This window comes from Homo sapiens, chromosome 17, assembly GCF_000001405.40.
Source record: "Homo sapiens chromosome 17, GRCh38.p14 Primary Assembly".
NCBI classification, from domain to species: domain Eukaryota; kingdom Metazoa; phylum Chordata; class Mammalia; order Primates; family Hominidae; genus Homo; species Homo sapiens.
The window spans coordinates 65687679-65708627 of record NC_000017.11 but is presented as its reverse complement, the minus strand read 5'-3'; the positions used below and the strand labels follow the sequence as shown (position 1 = coordinate 65708627).

The window sequence follows — 20949 nt, the reverse complement described above, 5'->3', positions numbered from 1 at the left end:
CAAGGGGCAAGAGAAGAACTGTCTCCACTAAGCAGGATTAAAGGAACAGTGGGAGATGAGAGAGAGAAGCTTCTACGATTACACTCAGGGAGTCCTACAGAGCCAACGTGCCAGTTTCATATGAATAGGAAAAAGACGTGGAAAGAAGGCACTGTGCTAATAGTGGTTATATCTGAGTGCAGGAATTATGGAAATCTTTTTCCCTCTTAATGCTTTTCCATTTTTCTTCAATTAGCCTGTATTATTTTATAATCTGAGGTAAAACATAAATTTTTAAAATTGATATTAGGTCCTAAAATAGGGTTTGATCCCTTAGTGGGAGATCAAATGGACTTAGCATTTCAGAAATTGGACTGACAAACCATACTAACAGCACATCAATGGGGAAATAGAATTTTTGAGAATTAATTTTAAAAGTCAGATTTCCTAGACCACACTTATTTCAAGAAGACTGGTCATGTAATACAAAAAAAAAAAGTGCGGGGGGTTGTCAGTTTTGAAAAGAAACACTATATCTTAAGCTTTAGATGTTTGGTTTGTGGTGGTTCATTTCAAAGAAGCCATGCTAACCTTAGCGTTTTAGTTACAGGCATGATTCATTAGCAAAGGAAAGCCTTAGATGAAAGGTTAAGGTTGAACACATTTTCAACTACACTGTTAAAATTTTGGCTACACTGCCAAGAACCAGTCTTGGTTTGTGCTTAATAATATATTTTTGACTATTTGCATTCCTCTGTTAAGTATGCTGGGTGTTTGGAATCACACCAGTTCTTTCACAGTACATGAAGTTCTGATTCACCTTGCACATTGTCTCTTTAATTAAAGTTACTTTGAAAGGTGTTAAAACAATATTAAGAGTTTTTCTTTGTAAAACACACATTTTTCTATTCCTTATATACTGCTAGTGTGACAAGAAAATGCTTATACGTTCCTGACAAGAAACTTTAATCAGAAAGATTAAAGATGAAAGAAGGGAAGTGCTAATGGTAATGAATTTGTAAGGTTCAGAGAATAGTAGGAAGGCAAGTGTGGCTGGACCAAAGTGGAGACTGGTACAAGGAGAAGCCTGAGAGGCATGTGGAAGCCACACCTTGTAGGACCTTCTAAGCATGGTGAGGAGCTTAGATATTATTCTAAGTGTAATTGTAAGTCATTGGAGAACTTTGAGCAGGTAAGAGAGATGAATGGACAGACCTGACGTGTAGAATGTATGGGAGGGAGATGGAGACTGCTATGCTATTGGAGTCATCTTTAGGTAAAAGATGGCCATGACTTGGACCAAGGAGGTAGTACTAGAGATGGAGAGAAGTGGGTAGGTTATGCATGTTTTTAAGGTTTTTCTTTGTCAAAGACTTATAATTTTCTATTCATCCTGCGCCACTCCTAGTGAAAATTGAATGTGGCAGGGTAAAGTGAGGGAACAAAGGGATTCAATGATAACTCCTACATAATGACTTCCAAAGTAAGTGGCTGCTGTATGAAGATGAGACCGAGGGGAGCCCGGAGGAATGGATGGAGACCAGAAAAGGGACAATATAATCAGAGAATGTCAGTAAAAATGGCATGAAGTGGACCAAATTAAAAGAGATTGAATCCACAGGGGTTAGTGGCAAATAAACAGGAGTCTTTGGGAGGGAACATGTGGAATAGAAGCAAGTTGTCAAAGAGATCTCCTGAGTTTTTGCCTTGGATAATGTGATAGATCATGTGGGTGGTAGTGGTACTGTGCAGTGAGATAGAGAAACTTGAAGATGATGCGGAATATTGCTCTGGCAATAATGAATTGGAACGAAGAGATCTATGAGTGTAGTCATCATCCAGAGGAAAAGAGACAAGGGCAATAGCCATAGGGCTGAAGAGGAGAAATATTTGGAAGGCCGGTAAATGGTTAGATGGCAGAGAAAATTCAAGGGTGTCCTCGCAGTTCCTGATTTGGATAACTAGGTGAATATGGGTTCCGTTAATCTAGATCTGAATATATAGGAACATAATTAGATTGAGGCAAAGGGGTGAGTGGAAGGAGAGGGAAATAAAGTGGGAAAACTGATAATACGTCCAGTTTTGAACCTGTTAAGCCTGGGACGCATGTTGTAAATGTCTAGGAAGTAACTGTGTGTATCTTTCTTGATTTTAGGCATTGCACAAAAGCCCCTCTCCTTTTCACCAAGTTAAGTGTAACTAAAGCCTGTGCTCTGAAGTTCACTGTGCTCTGGCCTCCTCTTTTCAGGTCTGCCTCCCCTTCACATATTCCAGGTCCTGCTCCAGGGACTGCACCAGGGTGTCCTGAGCACACCCCCATTTTCCTTGTATTTACTTTTGCAAATGCAACTTCTTTGGCAGACAATTCTTTCCCCTTTCCACCTTAGGCCTGTCAGAACTGTAGCTATTATTCAAGGCTTTTCCCAAATACTGCGTCCTTCCTGAAGACGTTCCCAGTCTCTTTGTGTTTTTCTTATATCATTTTACTGTACATAAAATGTTTGTTTCTTTTTTAGTTTTATTATGAAAATTTTCAAACATACCCAAAAGTAGAGATAATAGTACTATGAACTCCTGTGTGCTTGTCACCCACCTTCAGTAACTATCAAGATTTGGTCACATTTACTCTGTCATTTCCCCCTCATTCTTTGCTAAAATATTTTAAAGCAAATTCCAGACATCAAGTCGTTTTACACTGTGTATTTCAGAATGCCTCTCAGAAACCATGGGCATTGTCTTACACAGACACAGTGCCATTGTCATACCTAAGACAGTGAACAATTATCTTTTAGTATCATCTAATATTTACTTCATAACTAAGTATCCCAAATTAACTTTAAAATGCCATTTTACAGTTGATTTGTCTGAATCAGGATCCAAACATTACATTTGATTGTTACAGCTCTCATGTCTTTTCAAATCTAAAGCAGACCCTTCCTCACTTTTTTCCCATGTCATTGACTTCTTGCAGAAACCAAGTCAGTTGTCCTGTAGAATGTCCCACATTCTGGATTTATCTGCCTGCTTCCTTGTGGTGTCATTGAACATCTTCCTCTGTCCTTCCTTTTTCTTTTTGTTCTCTCAATTGAACACTTAACACACTTACCATGCTCTCCTGCTTTTTGTCCTTATCACATACTTTCTATGATAATGTAAGTGCCGTAAAAGGTGAGACTATGTCTTACCCAACTCTGTACCTTCTAATACATTGTACAGACTCAAAAAATAGTATTCGCTTGAATTATTCAGAAAGAGTTTTATTCCCCTTGCCAAAACACGAACTGAAGCTTATTCTCAATCTGAAGAAATTTACATTAGGAATTAAGTTGCCAGAGGAATCTTCTCAATAATGTAGGTCACTATTTCCTCATTTGCACTGAAAGAATCACAGCCTCACTTGAAGTGGCAGATTCTTATATCTGAAAATTCTTGCAGTTTGGAGCATTATGATACAAATGAAATTTCCATGTCCCTTGCATTATCCCTAGGTCCATATAGAAGTGATTTCAGAAATCAACGGTTTTGTGCATTCAGCATGAAAAGTAGGTCACTAATCATTTTTCTGATCAGGAGAACTGAATTTTGCTTAGTAGTTCAGAAATCAAACTGAAAGGCTGACTCTAAAAACACCATCACGTGTATGCTTTGTTGTTGATAACTAACTGCAATCCAAGCTTTAATAACTAGGAGGGAGTGGAAGAAACTTCAAAAGGTTGCATGATAAACGTTTTTGACAATGTGTCAGCTGAACATTAAACAGGATCTTTGTAAATCCTCTCATTCTAAGTGGTTTAAACGGAAAGTTTTAAACTTCTTCCTTCATGAGTATTGGCTCCAGATATCACAGAATCCTAAGGTTAAAAAAAGAAAAACATTTTATCTGGCGTGAATGATTTCTATCCGTCATGTGAATGTGAGGTGTGAGAGGCAGGCTCACCTGAGGATCTCCACCTCTGCACCTCAAGCAGTATCTCTTTCATCAGCTAAGAAGGAGCCATCTATTCTATTGGAGTGGCTTCCTTAATGATCTGATACGACCATGTACACACACAAAATTAAGAAAATACCGATAGATCAATATAACATAGTAATACCCTAATGCCATTTTCCGGATTGTCTCATAATGATTGGACTGTTGGCCCTCACATGGGTAAAATGAGGTCTAGTAGGACTGGGTAGTTGAAAGAAATGTTTGTGTGTGTGTGTGTGTGTGTGTGTGTGTGTGTGTATTTTACACGTTTTACAAGAGAAAATGTGGAAAACAAGGGACGTTTCTTCCCATGTGTATTTGTTTCCTAGTGCTGCTGTAACAAAGAACCAAAAACTGGGTGGGTTGAAACAACGAGAAGCTATTATCTCACAGTTCTAGAGGCCACAAGTCCGAAGTCAAGGTGTGGGCAGGGCTGTGCTCCCTCAGAAGGCTCTAGGGAGGAATCCTTCCTTGTCTCTTTCAGCTTCTGATGTTTCCCAGCAATCCTTGGTGTCCATGGCTTCTAGATGATCACTCCCATCTGTGGCCCTGTCGTCGCAGGGCCAACCTCTTCCTGTGCGTCTCTTGTTGTGAGGACGTCCGTCATACTGGATTAAGAGCCCACTCTACTCCAGGGTGACCTCGTCTGATTATGTCTGCAAGGATCCTATTTCCAAATAAGGCCACGTTCTGAGGTACTGGGGATTAGGACTTCAACATGTCTCTCTGGAGGATATAATTCAACTCATCACTTTGTGTAATACCCTGTCGTTTTGGCTCCACATTCTAATAGGGAAGCCTTCGGAATCATTATGACTGTTGAATCTGTGACACAAAAACTTGTTTTTCTGGGTTTTTTTTTTTGTACATTTTAATTTGTTAGATTAAAGACTAAATATCTTAATAGTAAATCCAGAGCATTTGGGGACAAAGAAGGCTTTTGAAGGATGGAAGTAATAGCAGGAGAATGGCATTCTAGATATGATGAAGATAAGACCCACAGAGCTCACAGGGCAATGTGTGGAGCTGGGCCCATTGGTGGCAAAACGTAGAGGCTGAGAGGCAGAGGGACCTGGGCCATTTCCTGTCTGCAAGACTTCGCAGCTGGGTAGCCTTGAGTAGCCTCTAGGAACCTTAGCTTTTTTTTTTTTTTTTCCTTCTTTTTTTTGAGATGGAGTCTCACTCTGTTGCCCATTCTGGAGTGCAGTGGCACAATCTCGACTCACTGCAACCTTCACCTCCCAGGTTCAAGCAATTCTCCTGTCTCAGCCTCCCAAGTAGCTGGGATTATAGGCACCTGCAACCATGCCTGGCTAATTTTTGTAGTTTTAGTAGAGACAGGGTTTCACCACGTTGGCCAAGCTGGTCTTGAACTCTTGACCTCATGATCCACCCGCCTCAGCCTCCCAAAGTGTGAGCCACTGTGGCTGGCCCTTCACTCTTTCTTATAAGGTGAGGTTTCTACCTCAGAGGGACATTGTGAAAGTCAGTAAAGCTGTTACAGCCACAGCACAGTGCCTGCATATTGGACCTAGCATGACAGCTTTGAGTTAGGACACCAATCCCCTCTTATGCACAGGGGTTCCATTCCAAGATCCCAGTGGTTGCTTGAAACTACAGATAGCAATGAACCTGATGTATCATATGTTTTTCCTGTATATACATACTTATTGATATGATTTGGCTCTGTGTCCCCACCCAGATCTCACCTTGAATTGTAATAATCCCCACGTGTCATGGGAGGGACTGGAAGGGGGTTAACTGAATCATGGGGGCGAGTTTTTCCCATTCTGTTCTTGTGACAGTGAATAAGTCTCACAAGATCTGATGGTTTTATAAAGGGCAGTTCCCTTACACATTCTGTCTCTTTGCCTGCCTCCATGTAAGACGTGCCTTTGCTCCTCATTCACCTTCCGCCATGATTATGAGGCCTCCCCAGCCATGTGGAACTGTGAGTCCATTAAACCTCTTTCCTTTATAAATTACCCAGTCTCGGGTATGTCTTTATTAGCAGCATGAGAATGGACTAATACATTTATTATGAAGTTTAATATATAAATTAGGCACTATAAGAGACTACCAACAATAATAAAATAGAACAATTACAACAATATACTGTGATAAAAATTATGTGGTCTTTCTCTCTCTTTCTTTCCTCTCTCACAATATATATTCTTGTCTGTATTTGTACTCACCTCTTTTTGGACCACAGTTGACCATGGGTAACTGAAACTGTGGAAAATAAAACCACAGATAAATGGGGATTCCTGTATATTGAGCACAGTAAGAAAGAAGTCCAGATAGATACATGAAGCTAGTTTAGGAAGGGATTCAGAGCCAGGGAAGAAATTTTAACCTTGACAGGATAAGGATGCAGGGTGCAGGATGCTAATCTTAACACATCCTACATGCCAGGATGCAGGAGGACACAACTGGGAAAGAGTCTGGAATCCTGGTGGGCAGAAATCAGGACGTAGAGTGGAGTCATTTCAAATAGAAGTTAGGCCAGGCGCAGTGGCTCATGCCTGTAATCCCAGCATTTTGGGAGGCCGAGGCGGGCAGATCACCTGAGGTCAGGAGTTCAACACCAGCCTGGCCAACATGGCAAAACTCCATCTCTACTAAAAATATAAAAACTAGCCAGGTGTGATGGCGGGTGCCTACAATCCCAGCTACTCAGGAGGCTGAGGCAGGAGAATTGCTTGAAGCCAGGAGGCAGAGGTTGCAGTGACAGCCTGGGCAACAGAGCAAGACTCCGTCTCAAAAAAAAAAAAAAAAAACAAAAAAAAAAAGAAGTTGAAGGAATGTGGGCAACTAACTAGGAGGGAGAACAGAGAGAGTAGGGCTTACAAATGATTGTGAGATTTAAAACCAGGAACTTGGTAATTGAATGAATGACTTTGTCATTGATCAGCAGGACAGGTGGAAGGGAAGCTGGTTGAGGGGGAAAATTATGAGTTTAGTCTTGGACTTGGAAGTTTGAGATGATGGTAAGGCCACCATATACACACATAAGAGAGACAGTTGGAGATGTCAGATTAGAGGATTTGTGCGATCCTGGGTATGGAGATGAGTATAGGAGTCGTCACTAGGCAAGCCCTAGTTAGAGCTAGTGTTTCTGTTGCCCATATCAGGCAGGAGAGCTGGATGTCGTGATATGCATTCAAACTCAGTGACTTTAAAATGGAACTCATGATCTTACTTCCCCAAAACTGTTCCTTCCATGATTTCTTTTTTGACACCATACTCTAATGGTCAAGCCATTGGCATCATCATTCCTGTTGAATCCGTGTCATGCAGAAACTTATTCTTCCCCTTCCTTTCTGTATATTTTAATTCTACTGTGTTCTCTGTCTTAGTTAATGACAGCACCCTAGCCACCTATTCTGAAAGCCTCAGAGTCATTCTTTAAACTTCCTTCTTGCACCTGGCACATTCGTTGCATGACCAAGCCCTGCAACCTGTCTTGTGGCTCTGCTGCCATCCCGGCACATGCATTCCCCCGGGCCCATCATTTCTCGCCATCTCTTGTCCAAATCAAGCTCATCTCCCACGTGATACTACATGGCCTCCTAATGGCCTCCCAGCCATGGCAGAGTGAACTCCTGAGACAGATTTTCTTGCATGTTTGGTTACACAGTCTGTAAAATTGTGCTTTTTTATTCTTTTCATTTTTAGAGTTTCTAAAGCATTTCTCATTGACCGAAAATTTAATGTCCTAAGCCTCATTCTGTATTCCTGGACTTTTTACAAATGATCGTGAAGCTTACAGGTGTATTTTTCTGGGCCTGGTTTTCTCCTATATGCTGAGAGGGCTGAGTGGAATCTGATCCTTGCCTCTGTCTTGTCCCATAGATTCACCCATGTCTTGCCAAGACTCTGTTAACTGTCCCCAGCAGGCCTCCCTGCCACCATTTTCCACACTGTCACCTGAATGTTCATCCTGTATTGGAAATCTGATCATCTTAGGCCCTTTTGTGGTTCCCATTCCTACAGGGTAAAATCTATAGTCCTCCTGGCACACAAGACCCTTGAGTTTAGTCTTGGACTTGATAAGTTTGAGCCGCAACCCATGTAGCCTCTCCTGCTTCAGTGCCACCCCTCTGCTTGGCCATGCCTTCGGTGTAGCCAACAAGCATTGCAGGTCTATGCCACCATGCCTTTCCCTCTGTGATTCACTCCCCAGGACCACTCTCCTCTCCTCCTGGGAAACCCTCCAGCTCCCACATTACCTCCTTGAGGAAGTTCTCACTGTCTAAACTTTCCCTGGCGTTTGTTGCTTTCCTCCTGTGTTCAGTCACAATGCTTGGTAAGACTTCTTTTTAGCAGTGCTCATGTGGTATTGTAATAGTTCCTTTATAAGCTTGCCGTACACATTAGATTAGATGCTTTTTGAGGGTAATGTTTAGTACCACGTCTGGTACATGCGATATGCCCAGATTATAGAAATACTTCCATTAACTTACGGAAGTAATGATCTGAAGGACACAGTGTATAGAAAGAAGGCTAGAGAGGTAAGAACCTAGTTAGGGAAATATCCGCAAGTGAGAGAGAAGAGGAGGAGGAGGAGGAGGAGGAAGAGGAGGAGGAGCAGAAAGCATGTGGGAAGGAGGAGGAGGACAGCATGACATGGTGGTGTCAAAGGGAAGGATTTCTGGAAGTAGAGTGTTCTAATAGTGCCCGGTGCAACAGAGAGGTCCAGGAGAATAGAGTTGTGGAAAAGGCCACTGGATCATCAGTAAGAGAATCATCGCTGACCTTGCAGAGAACAAGTCTCATAACTGGTTAGAAACCAAAATCAGATCACTGATGAGGAAGGAGTTCACTAATGGGGGAGAAATAAGGGTACTGGAGTCAAACACTTGAGAAATGTGGCCAACAAAAACAGCCAGGTGCAGTGGTGCGCCTCTGTAGTTCCAGCTTCTTGGGAGGCTGATGTAGGAAGATGACTTGAGCCCAGGAGTTCCAGGCTATAGGGTGCTATGATCATGCCTGTGAGTCACTGCACTCCGGCCTGGGCAACATAGTGAGACCCCCATCTCTTCAAACAAACAAACAAAAGAAATGTGGCCAATTTCTTGAAGGGCAAACGGGTAAAGACAACGTGCCAGTGTAGACACTGAGAAGGGACTTAGCAAAAGGGAGAGAGCAACAGTGGTGACCAGCCCTCTAGATCGTGAAAAAAGGGCACTGATAGATGTGTTATTATTAAAAAACAAGAAGGGAGGCCACTTCTGACACTCGAGGGAGCAGACTGGGTAAAACTCAGTTATTTTTCTCTAGGGACAGAATGAGAGGAAATATAGCTTAAGGGGGAAAAAAAAATCTGAGAATTTTAATGGGAGTACCCCAACTGTTTTAAATGAAAGGCAACTTGCTCTTTATAGAGTTGGTTAATGTTACCAGTAAATGCTCATTACCGTAGTGTAAATAACACTTTGCCAAGCATTTCAGAGACCACTTAACAAATAATGGAGGGGCAAAGGCCGCTGCTCTGGTGAAGTTCAGAGCCTAAAATGAGAAAAGAAGTTAGATAAATTCACAATAGGAAGAGATCTATAAATATGTTATCATATAGGGAATATAATAACAATGCGAAATAGTTTAATCTGTATTTGAAATATTTCATGGAAGAAATGAATCTTCAGTTTTCACGGAGGAGAAATACACAGTTTGGTGGAGGGGATTGGAAATGATACTGCAGGTTCAGGGGACGGCATGTGTGAATTAGTCTTTGTAAGAAAATCGAAATTTAAATGAATGGCTTATGGGTCCTCCCTCTTCCCTGGGCTTGCACTGAAGAGGGGTGGTCTGTGAGGATTTAACAGTTAACACTCTGTTCCACAGAGACTGAACTCAAGTTTGAGTGCTTATCATCCTGGCCAGACGAGGAAATTCCTCTATGATCTTGCAAAATCCTAGCTGTGGTTCTTGAATTTGATCCTAGATTTCTACCACCCGAGATAAGAACTTGTTCACAAGTGAAGCTGTTTAGAGCCACGAAGCGGGGGAATGTGCTTTGAATTTCCTGAGTAGAAATAGACTGGCCCCTTTAAGAGGAGCTGCGGGTAATGTCAGGATGGTCTTTTGTGTGACTAGGAAAACATGAATGAGGTGCGTTAGGAGATTCCGGCTTCCTTAGATCATCAAAGTCTTGAAATAACATGATTTCTTTTCCTGGAACCTCTGTTAAGACCAGGAAACATTAACTTTTTAAAAAGTGCATTTTTAAGACCTTTAAAGGAAGTCCTTTAGGAATTTTAAAGGACTGAAAATAGGTGAGCGAGAGAAGGAAAGAGAAAAAGTGAAAACTTTCGTACTTGGAGAATAACAAACAAGAAAAACTCTTGCTTTATATAGTGGCCACAGTATTTTTGCCTTTGATGTTGAATCAGTAGCCTAATAAGTACTATAGCAATAGCTCATATGAAAGTGCAGTTTCTCATGCATGTGGTTTGTCGCAGCAACAACTAAAAAGTTTTCACGTGGAAGGAATTTTGCCTTATGTGAAGAGTAACATATGTATTGGGTAAAAACCTTCACATCAGTATCACAAAAGAGACAGAATTATCAGGGTTTTTTGTTTTGTTTTGTTTTTTTAAGAAAAAAAAATAAGTGTTGCTGGGAATGTGAAAAAAAACTGAAAACCTGAACAAAAAATAAGTGTTGCTTGGATGTGAAAAAAAACTGAAAACCTGAACATAAGCCATAGGGGAAAATAATTATACAGTTGCGTTGTGAATGCATTAGTGGCCTCTGCAGTAGTAGCTGCGGCTCTGGCTTTAGATCTGCAGCATAACCTGTTTTCCATGACTGTAGAATCACTAATAAAACTTTTTTTATGGTTTGTTATTCATCCTGGGTAGGTCTGAATGAAGAAATCGCTTTAAAAGAAATCTTGAGTGGCATTTCAGTTGAAGAAGACTAGTTACTTTTGTTAGTAGATTTAGCCTATTTAAAAATGATAATAAAACAGAAACTATAGTGGCCTCTGTAAATAGCCCGTGAGACCACCCAGTAAAAATGTCACGCTGCCACTGTGTCACTTTCGGTAGCCCCACATTTATCGCTCCTTGTGTGGATGACAGGGCTTGATCCTCTTGCTTTGTCCTAGTCGTTTACAATATGATTAAAAAAAAAATAAGTCTGTAAATCTCACATGAAAATAGAGTGAGATTTTACTGCTTTATTTGTATTTTACCTTAGCCTTCATTTAGCAGTAGTAGAAAGAAAAACATTTACTGTTTCGGTGTCAATTTACATGGCAAAAGGAGACCTACTCATCAGAAATATTATCAGCCCAGTTAATAGACTGAATTGGAGTAATGCTGCTTAAACAAATGTGGGCATTATTAAGAAGGCAATTAAGGTTTAAATGAGAGTCACCCTTATTTCACCTTTATAATTAGTGTCTCTTCACTGTAGTCACAGCTCAGGCATCACGTCTGTCTGAAGGACCAAGCAGCCAGGGGAAGAGAGGTTTACGTCAAGATTTTATAACTTAACAAATATTTGATGACACACATTTAAAAATCATCTTACATGTTTTAAATGGAAAACAGACCATTACCATGAAAAAATAAACATTGAATTGGATTGTATGTAAATTATACCTCAATAAAAATAAAAATAGGCCTTCCTCTTCTAGTTATCTTCTCCTTTAGTCAAAATATGCACATCCTACCCCCCTGGTCTCTTCATTCTGTGTTCAAAACATTCATGGGGTAAATCCTCCCGCATCCCTCCTCCCCACTGAGTGGCAAATGAATCATCTGTTTTCTCCAAAGTAGGATAGTAAATTCAAGCCTCGTGAAGGAAAGGATATGATGACCTCATTTTTTTTTAAGTGGGACTTTTTTTCTTTTTTCAATGTTTTGACTTTTTATTACGGAAGCTTTTAAACATACACAAAAGTAGGGAGAAGAGTACACAGATCCGCCATCTACCCATCACCCCGCTTCAAGCAGTTGCCCGCAGTTTGCCAGGGTGACTTCTTCTTGGCAGCATCTTCAGTATAAATACTCTGGCTTTTTCTTATTGTTAAAACTCAGTTTTGCAGAGCTTGCAGCTCGCAAGTCCCCTTTCTGCGTTTCACCCAGCGGAGGTTCATCTGGTTCCTTGTTTCACGGCCACAGACTGTACCCAAGGCCCTTAAAATCCACAACTCTACCGACCCCAGTTTTGTATTTATATAGGGCAAAACTTTAATCAACACTCTTTTTGCTTACATATGATTCAATCCAGTTTATTTTAAATAACAGAACACTATAGCATTCAAGGTTCCCACTTCCCAAAGGACATGTGGGTGAACCTACGGACAGAACCAAGGACAAGATCCATTTACACTCTGCCCCATCATGCAGGGCAGGCCCAGAAAAACGTGCTCAGAGACCTCATGATGATTTGTGAAAAGGCCAGGCACTATTAGCATTTTACCAAGACGTAACAACATAGAATGAGGCAGAATATGTGTCAAACACATTAAATTTCAACTCAATGAGAACTGCTTTGAAACTCTCTAAAAGGGGGCAAGAATGCGACTCTACAAGCTGCATGACAGAAAATGTGTAAGAGAATGTGTCTCTGCAGTCCACTCTGCTAGGACAGTGTTTCCAGGACCACTGACTCAGAAGGGTGACTTTTATACTGCTGATGATTCTGTCTTGATTTGCAAGTGGATTTTTCCAGATGTCTCATAAATGGAGTTTTGATAAAGACGGGAAAGTAGAGTTTGAAATTGTATTCTCTAGTACGAACTTAGAGTACCAATATTCTGAGCTATAAGCTGAAGACCAATTTATACGCTTAGACAGCCTGTTGGGAAAAGGGTACTAAGGTAGCAGCTCTTGGGTTGCTGGAATGGAGCTGGCTAAGAAGTGGGCCAAAGGCGAGAGCAGAAATCTCTAGAAAGACGTCCGGTCTTGCTACAGTACTACATCTGAAAGCCTCTCTCTGTTATATACCTTGTATTCTGGGAACATTTTTTAAAAAATTGTTTTTATCATTGTGACCTAGTATTTCTCTCTTCCAATAAAGTTTTCCTTTATTAAAAAACCTTTTAACCACTTTATAATTGAAATGAACTTGTGTTTCATTTATTCATTATTAAAAGGCATGTATCTGCCATCACTTTATTCTTGTTTAATTGACGCAGAACTACAAGAGAAAACTTTGGTAAGACTATACATAATTCCTTAATGTGTGGTTTTACAAGTTAAGGAGTGGCTTGAGCTGAATTATGTTCATACATATTATTAAAATAGCATTGACTAGATACTCTTTTTTCCCCAAACTCACAGAAAAGCCCTGTACTGTCACAAGTGCCATTCAATGGGCATGTTAGCTACCAGGTCCTTTTCCTCACCCTGAAGAGCCCATTAACATGTTCAATTTTTGACACTTTAATTTGCTCTCATTATTTTCAGATTTGGAACAAATCAAATTATCCTACAATGCTCTCCCTTTTAAAGAGTGCGGTGTGCGCTCATTGTTCTTGTGGAGCTGCTTATGTCGTTTACATTTTTCTTCTGGAAAGTGTCATTCTTTATTCCCGACCAGCAGAAAGCACTCTGAAAGTCAGGAGCGGTGTAGCTTCCCACAGCCAGCTGACTTACAGTATATTTAAAGGCAGATTTAATTGGGAGAAAAGAACTGTCTTTTCAGTAATGATGCCAGTTAACACTGCAGAGCTAGGAGAGGAGGGACAGTTCTGCAGAATAAACAATTTAACTGTTCAAGTTGGGTTTTGTTTCATATTTTTGACCCAGTGTTGGACATTCTGTTCTTTAATTATCTTGGGCTTTTCTCAGGAAGAAACTAAAAGTTGTGATTTTGTGTGTGTGTGAAATGTCAAATTTGAAGCTTTTTTGAATAAGGATGACACAACTTAAAGTCCGCGGTTGTACTTATTGAGCAATTGTGGTCATTTTCACATAGTCCTTATGTCAAATTCTGAGGTTGGAACTCTAATAACCTAATAATCTTTTAGAATATAAAACCAGGACCAGCTGCCAATATAAACTGTCATTTTCCTTTCATGCCGTACATTTTAACTTTTTTGAAAGTGAAATATTATTTGGTGACTTTTCAGTTTTTTAACTGATCTTTAATAGGTAACGAAAGTCATTTCTAAATACAACTGCTTTCTCTGATTAACTTTAGAAAGATCACACTTTACATCTTTATAAGGAAATTTTTAAAGGCCTGCCTTTTTGAAAAGCAAATGTAATTTGAATTCCATTTTAATAATACTGATAAAATATGGTTGACTTCGTAGTCTGTTCACTATGTGAAGTATGGAAAAAGGATCAGATCTAGTTATGTTACCCTGCCTTCTTTGGAACTTTCTTTTGGCTAGATTTCCGTAATATGTCATCCTAACTTCTCCTCAATTGCCTCCTGCCTATCTGGACTTCCACCAGATTTCTTGGCCTCCATCTCCTCCTCTGCCTGTCTGAGTGTGGGCATCACCCAAAGGGCAGGTTTTAGAACCTCTTCTCATTTTAGGAAACTTCCCTAAGGAAGTTTCCGCATTTGCACCTCTGTCTGAGAGCATGCCCCACTGTTCAGACCCACTGAGCAACGTGATCTGCTAGCCAGGGGTCCTAGTGAGCTCTGGTTGCTGTAACAATATCCCTTGGACAGGTTGGCTCCTAAACACAAAAGCTTATTTCCCATAGCTCTGGAGGCTGGGACATCCAAGATCAAAGCACCAGCAGATTCAGGGTCTGGGGAGAGCCTGCCTGATTCCTAGTTCGTTGACACCCATCTTTGTACTGTGTCCTCCCATGGTGGAAGGGGCCAGGGACCTCACTCAGAGCTTTTAGAAGGGCACCAGTCCCATTCTTGAGGACATTCCCTGCCAGAGGTCCTGTCTCCTAATAACCTTGGGGGTTAAGATTTCAACATACGAATTTGGAGGGGGCACGGATAGTGTCTAGCAATATTTGGAGTCTAGCAATAGTTCCTCCTTGAAGTCCCGCCAGCACCTTCAACCCAGCATGTCAGAAAGCACACTGCCCCACCGCTTCTGACTTGTGCTTAGCAAGAATTCACTATTTTCTGGTCACTCCATCTTAAAGCCTTGGGGTATCTCTGAGTCCCTTTTTTCCAATTCCCTGTCAACGGTTCCACTTCACCCATCCCCTTCTCCATATCCATCACCCTCTTTCCAGGCCTGTTGTCTTTGGCCTTCACTTTTGCAGCATCCTCTTTTTTTTTTTTAATCCCTTGACTTCACTGAGCAGAATTATTTCCTCAAGATTCAAGAGAAAAACACAATTGGGCGTGAATAGGGCCAAATGCTTCTGTGGAAAAAGGAAGAAAGTTAGCTTCTGGTTTTGGCATTTGGTAGATGACAAGTGACTGGTGTGAAAACTGACTCAGGAGAGCAGTGGGGACAGGGGGCAGGTGTAACGGGGTATGTAGTGAATGGGGCAGGGTGTGGGACGCCGAGTGTAGCACTCTCAGGGTTCTGCAGGTGAAGGCAAGGAGGGAGAGAAGCCAGGAAGTGGGGAACAACTCTTCGTTTAAGAGAAGGGAGAGGCATGCCATCTTTCTCTTCTGTGAAATAAAATTAAAGGAGTATTTTTTATTGTAGCAGAAACCAGATAATATATTATCAATTATTATCATTATGATATGTGTGTGTGTGTTCAGAGATAGATATAGACATTTGGAGGATATATTTGTGTATTTTGTGTCTCAGGACACATAATCACCTTTGGTTAAATGTGCCACATGAAGGACAGTCAGAAGCCCTGATGATTGAAGTAAATATCTTTAGGGAGTAGAGTTCAAATGTTTATGAGTTCCTTCCACAAACATGAATTCAGTGTCACCTGTGTACCAGGCATTGAGCTGGCTTGGCACTGGGCTTGCAGAGATGAAGAGAGGAGAGCCCTGAGCTGCAGTTGCATGCCACCCAGACATGTAAATTAATTCTCTTAAACACTAGATGGATGAAAGCCCAGAGAAGTCCATACTTAGCTCTTGTATAGATTAGGGCAATTACATCATTGAGCAGAGTAGGTGCGGTAGGGACTTCCAGGCAAAGAAAAGAGAAAATCAGTACAGAGTGGGAAAGAGGCAGCATGGAGTAGCACAAACATATTCAATTTGAAGTTACAAAAATATGTTAAAATTCCAGTCCAGGCCAGGCGTGGTGACTCACGCCTGTGATCCCAGCACTTTGGGAGGCTGAGATGGGTGGATCACAAGGACAGGAGATCGAGACCATCCTGGCTAACATGGTGAAACCTCGTCTCTACTAAAAATATAAAAAATTAGCCGGGTGTGGTGGCACATGCCTTTAATCCCAGCTACTTGGAGGCTGAGGCAGGAGAATCGCTTGAACCCGGGAGGTGGAGGTCGCAATGAGTCGAGATTGTGCCACTGCACTCCAGCCTGGGTGACAGAGCAAAACTCCGTCTCAAAAAAAAAAAAAAAAAAAAAATTCCAGTGCAGTGTCTTACTGCTAACCACATGGACTTGAGCAAGGTAGTTAACTGCATGGAGCCTCAATTACATCCTCTCTAACATAGATGGAATAATACTGGGTGCACAAAATTGTCGTAAGGGTTAAAAATAAAATCCACTCCGTGGATGATAGCTCCTGTTGTTATTGCTGATAATGACATCTGCACGGCATGCCAAGGCTTCCTACGGCACAGCGTGGCTGGAGACCAAGCCAGTTGATGAAGCCCCTTGTATGCTGTGCTAAGGAGTGAGAGCTGTCTCTCAGCGGGGCTGGAGTGTTGTTTAAGCATTTCAGTCAGGGAACAACATAATCAGATTTAAGTTTAAGAAGTTCACTCTGACAGTGGTGTGAGGATGGATTAGAGAGCAGGAAAAAGTGGTGACAAAAAAAATAGATAACTATTCTTCCCAATACAGTAATCATTACTTTCCCCAATTATGCAATAAAAGAAGCTGATAAGATCCTATTTGTTGGTAGCTATGAAAGTAGGGGGTGGGGGAAAGGCTACCTCATCAACAAGCACAGGAACTATTGCATTCATCCTTTTGGAAGTAGAACACAACAACAGAATTATAGACAATTCAAGAATGGAGAGATTTCCAAGCTCATTCTCAGACCTGGTTGAGTTGTAGATTTATGATCAAGTCTAATATCAAAGACACCCTAAAGCATGCAAGCTCATTCACAGACCATTTCACTTTTTAAATTAGTTCTTAGCCTGGGGTCCATTCACAGATGGGCTTCAGGCAATCTATGAATGTCCTACAGTGAGAGGCAAAATCATAAAACTATGGTTTTTCTCTTTCTAGGGAGTAACTACATAGCTTTCATCAGATTCTCAAAGGAGTCTAGAACCTCCCAAAAGGTTAAGAACCACTGTTTATCTGGACATAAAAAAGACTGGCATTGTGTTTGCAGGAATCTTTAATGGACACTAATTTAGCCATTGTGTCTGAACTCGTGTCTCCACCTGGATGTGTAATAGGCATTTCAAACTGAAGCCAACTGAGGCTGAGCTCCGGCTCCTCTCCCCCAACACCTGCCCTGTCTCTGTGAATGCCAACTGCAGTCTTAGCTCCTCAGGCCAGAATCCCTGGGGTCCTGTTTTTTCCTCTCTCTGCTTCCACTCCTTCAGGGCCATCATCTCTATTTCATACCTGGACCTGATCCTTCCTTCATCAGCTGCTACCACCTGGCCCCGCTCTCCATCTTCCCTTTCCTGGTGTTACAGTGGCCTCTCCCCTGCTCTCTGCCTCTGCCTTGCCCCTCAGTCTGCTCTTCAGACAACAATGAAAGCAGCACCTGCTCCCCACCCCCCAGCAACTTCCTGTCTATCTCTGGGCAAAATCTAAAGCCTTTGACCTGCAAGACTCCACGTAACCTGATGTGACTTGAACCCTGTTATGTCCTTGACTTCACTGCTGCTGCTTTGATCACTCTCAACAGTGACCTTATGGCTTCCACAAACATACCATCTCGGAGTCATTCCACATGCAGTGGCTATTGCTTGGAAGGCTCTTCCTGTGGAAATTTACATGTGACTTGCTCTCTCTTGTCCTTCAGGTCTTCGCCCAGCTGGGCCTTCTTGGACCATCTATTTAAAATCTCAATCCCCTCTTCCTCACACCACTCCAGAATGTCCCCTTCCCTGCTTTATTTTTCTTCTGCACTCATCACGGTTATATAATACACTTACTGTTTGCTTATTGCCTACCTCCACCCCATTATAATCTAAGCATGTGAATGCAAGGATTTTTTTTTTTTTTTTTTTTTTTGAGACAGGGTCTCATTCTGTCACCCAGACTGGAGTGCAGTGACACAATCATAGCCCACTGCAGCTTCAAACTCCTGGGCTCAAGTGATCCTCCTGCCTCAGCATCCTAAGTAGCTGGGACCACAGGTTTGCACCCCCACACCCAGCTAATTAAATTTTAAAAAATTGTAGAAAAGATCTTGCTATGTTGCCCAGGCTGATCTTGAATTCCTAGTTTCAAGTGATCCTCCTGCCTTAGCCTTTGAAAGTGCTGAGATCACAGATGTGAACCACTGTGCCCGACCGGAGTTTTTTTTTTTTTTTTTTTTTTTTTGGTCTGTTTTCTTTCATTGCTATGTCTAGAGTACCTATCGTAATTCTTGACACACAGCAGGAACTCACTAATATTGACTGGATGAAATGAATTTTGTGAATTTGGCACCTTTGCTGTTACCACCCCATGCATTCTGCTCACTGTAACTTTCCATGTAGTATTTCTGTAATTACATTGGATTGTTTGAATGGACAATCCAGTGTCATTATAGAAATAGCACATGGAAACTACAAGTTCTTTTTCTAGTTCATCTCTTTACTTAACATAGTAATTGATGCAGTGGTAATTATTGGTCTTTGTGGTTTCCATTTCCCATATTAACCTGAATGCTATTTCAAACAGCTACTTGGCAAAGGAAAGAGTTCACCTCTTTCCATTTCTTACAAGTTCCTCAAGTTCCATACCATCCTCTCTGACTTTATAAAGAAATTCCTTTAAGGCTGCTATAATTTACTCAAATTATCATAATATAATTTTGAAAAATGTTATGCTGGTCAGATATTACAATTCCTATCCGTCACAATGATATTCAGAGTGTAAGTGTACATTGCAGGTGTCCTGAGGGAGCCATTTTCATTGCAATAGTGTTATGCTTTATTACATATGCTTTATTACATGCTTGTGGTTCTGTGCTGGGAATATGAGACATTTTAATATATGATTGACATCTGCCAATTTGTCTATTTTATAACTTTGGAATTTTTTATACTAGGTATTCTTAAAGCAGAAAACATCTTGGCCTGACACACAAAAGTCTGGTATTGTTTGCCTGAATGCTTTGGAACAAGAGTAATAAACTAGAGATCTGAGGCCTTTTTAGTGCCAGTTCATGGTGTAGAACTATTTTTCCAAGTGTGCTAATTATTAATGATATCTTTATTTTATACCGTTTCAGGTTTTACAAGATGAATTAGAAAACCGTTCTAATCAGGTGCGATGTGCAGAGAAAAAATTACAACACAAAGAATTGGAGTCACAGGAACAGGTACCCTCTCCTTTACTATTTGACTCTCTTGTTTACTTTCTCTAGGTCAAGAAGTGTGTGCAGCCAGGTGCAGTGGCTCACACCTGTAATCTCAGCACTTTGGGAGGCCGAGGTGGGTGGATCACCTGAAGTTAGGAGTTCGAGACTAGCCTGGCCAACATGGTGAAACCCTGTCTCTACTAAAAATACAAAAATTAACTGGGTGTGGTGGCAGGTGCCTGTAATCCCAGTTACTTGGGAGGCTGAGGCAGGGGAATTACTTGAACCCGGGAGGCAGAGGTTGCAGTGAGCCGAGATCGCACCATTGCACTCCAGCCTGGGTGACAAGAACAAAACTCCGTCTCAAAAAAAAAAACAAGTTTACACATTGCCTGTTTCAGTTAAGATGCTTTGGGTGCAAGTAACAGAATATCCCACCCATGGTTCACATAAAAAATAAAGCAATTTATTACCTCACAGAACAAGAAGTCCACAAGTAAAGCATTCTCATGACTCTCCCTCCGGTGCTGGCTTCATTCTAGAACCAACTTCAAGATGGCTGCAGCAGTGCCAGGCATTCTGCCCAGATCTGCACTATTCGGAGGCAGAAAAGGGCTGCCAGTTTCTAGGGCCTAATGAGTAAGGAAATCTTTCCTGGAAACTACCCCCTCCCTTTACATGTCATTGGCCAGAGAAGGTCACATGCTTAGCCTGGCATACCCAGTCCCTGGCTAAAGAACTGAGTATACAAAACTAGCCTAGAATAATCAGGACCCACCTGCTGGTGATGAAACTGGGAGAAGAATGAAAACTGGAACAAAAAGGAGGGGAAATGGAGTGTTGAGTATGCAGCCAACAGTGTCTGCTATGTCATCATTTCAAAATAAATGGATATTATTTTGCTTAGAGGCATAAATCACATTTTCTTTTGAATTTTAGTTTTCTCCTTTTTCTTTCCATTCTTTTCAAAATAATGTAATATAACCCAGAATAGTATGGCTGTGACAATAGCTAATGACCTATTTTATTTTTAAATGACAGCATTATTTTCACCCAACTCTTCTGGTTATAATAAATTACACTTAGTGGTAATTTTGACAATTTAAACTAAAAAGTCAACATGTATCACTAGAGACCATGAATCTTGATGAAACCCTTTATAAATGCATTGCCCTCAGCTGTTGAGTGTAGCGTTGCTAATATTGATCTAAGTGCCACCAATCCATTATGTACAGAAACAGTCATAGGAATTGACAGATGTTTATACATTGGTTGTAAAACTCAGTACAGGAATATTGGCATATTATATTAGCTTATTCTGAATTTGGGGGAAGGGAAAACACAAAAGTAAGGCTGATAGGGAAGGTTTTCTTTTCTTCTTTAATCTCTGGAGATGTTTACAAACAGGATCCCACGATAGAGGATTGTACAAAATGATGAAAGTAAGCACCTAATAGATGCTGACTGTTAA

General features: G+C 41.1%; 1 protein-coding gene across 22 annotated transcripts in view; it reads left to right on the top strand.

Moving 5' to 3' along the window:
• CEP112 (centrosomal protein 112) overlaps nt 1-20949 on the top strand; it is a 556597-nt gene that overhangs the window by 483506 nt on the left and 52142 nt on the right. For 19 of the 22 annotated variants that reach the window (NR_126542.2, XR_007065281.1, NM_001353128.2 and 16 more), the window contains one exon: nt 19410-19499. Coding sequence is in view for 19 of the 22 variants with exons in the window: in NM_001353128.2 (NP_001340057.1) it covers nt 19410-19499 (90 nt within the window). In the remaining 3 variants the exon portion in view is untranslated. Of the gene's footprint in view, nt 1-4433; nt 4645-19409; nt 19500-19958; nt 20385-20949 lie in introns of those variants that run through there. The other 3 variants (XM_047435526.1, XM_047435525.1, XR_007065280.1) reach the window with 2 other exon arrangements.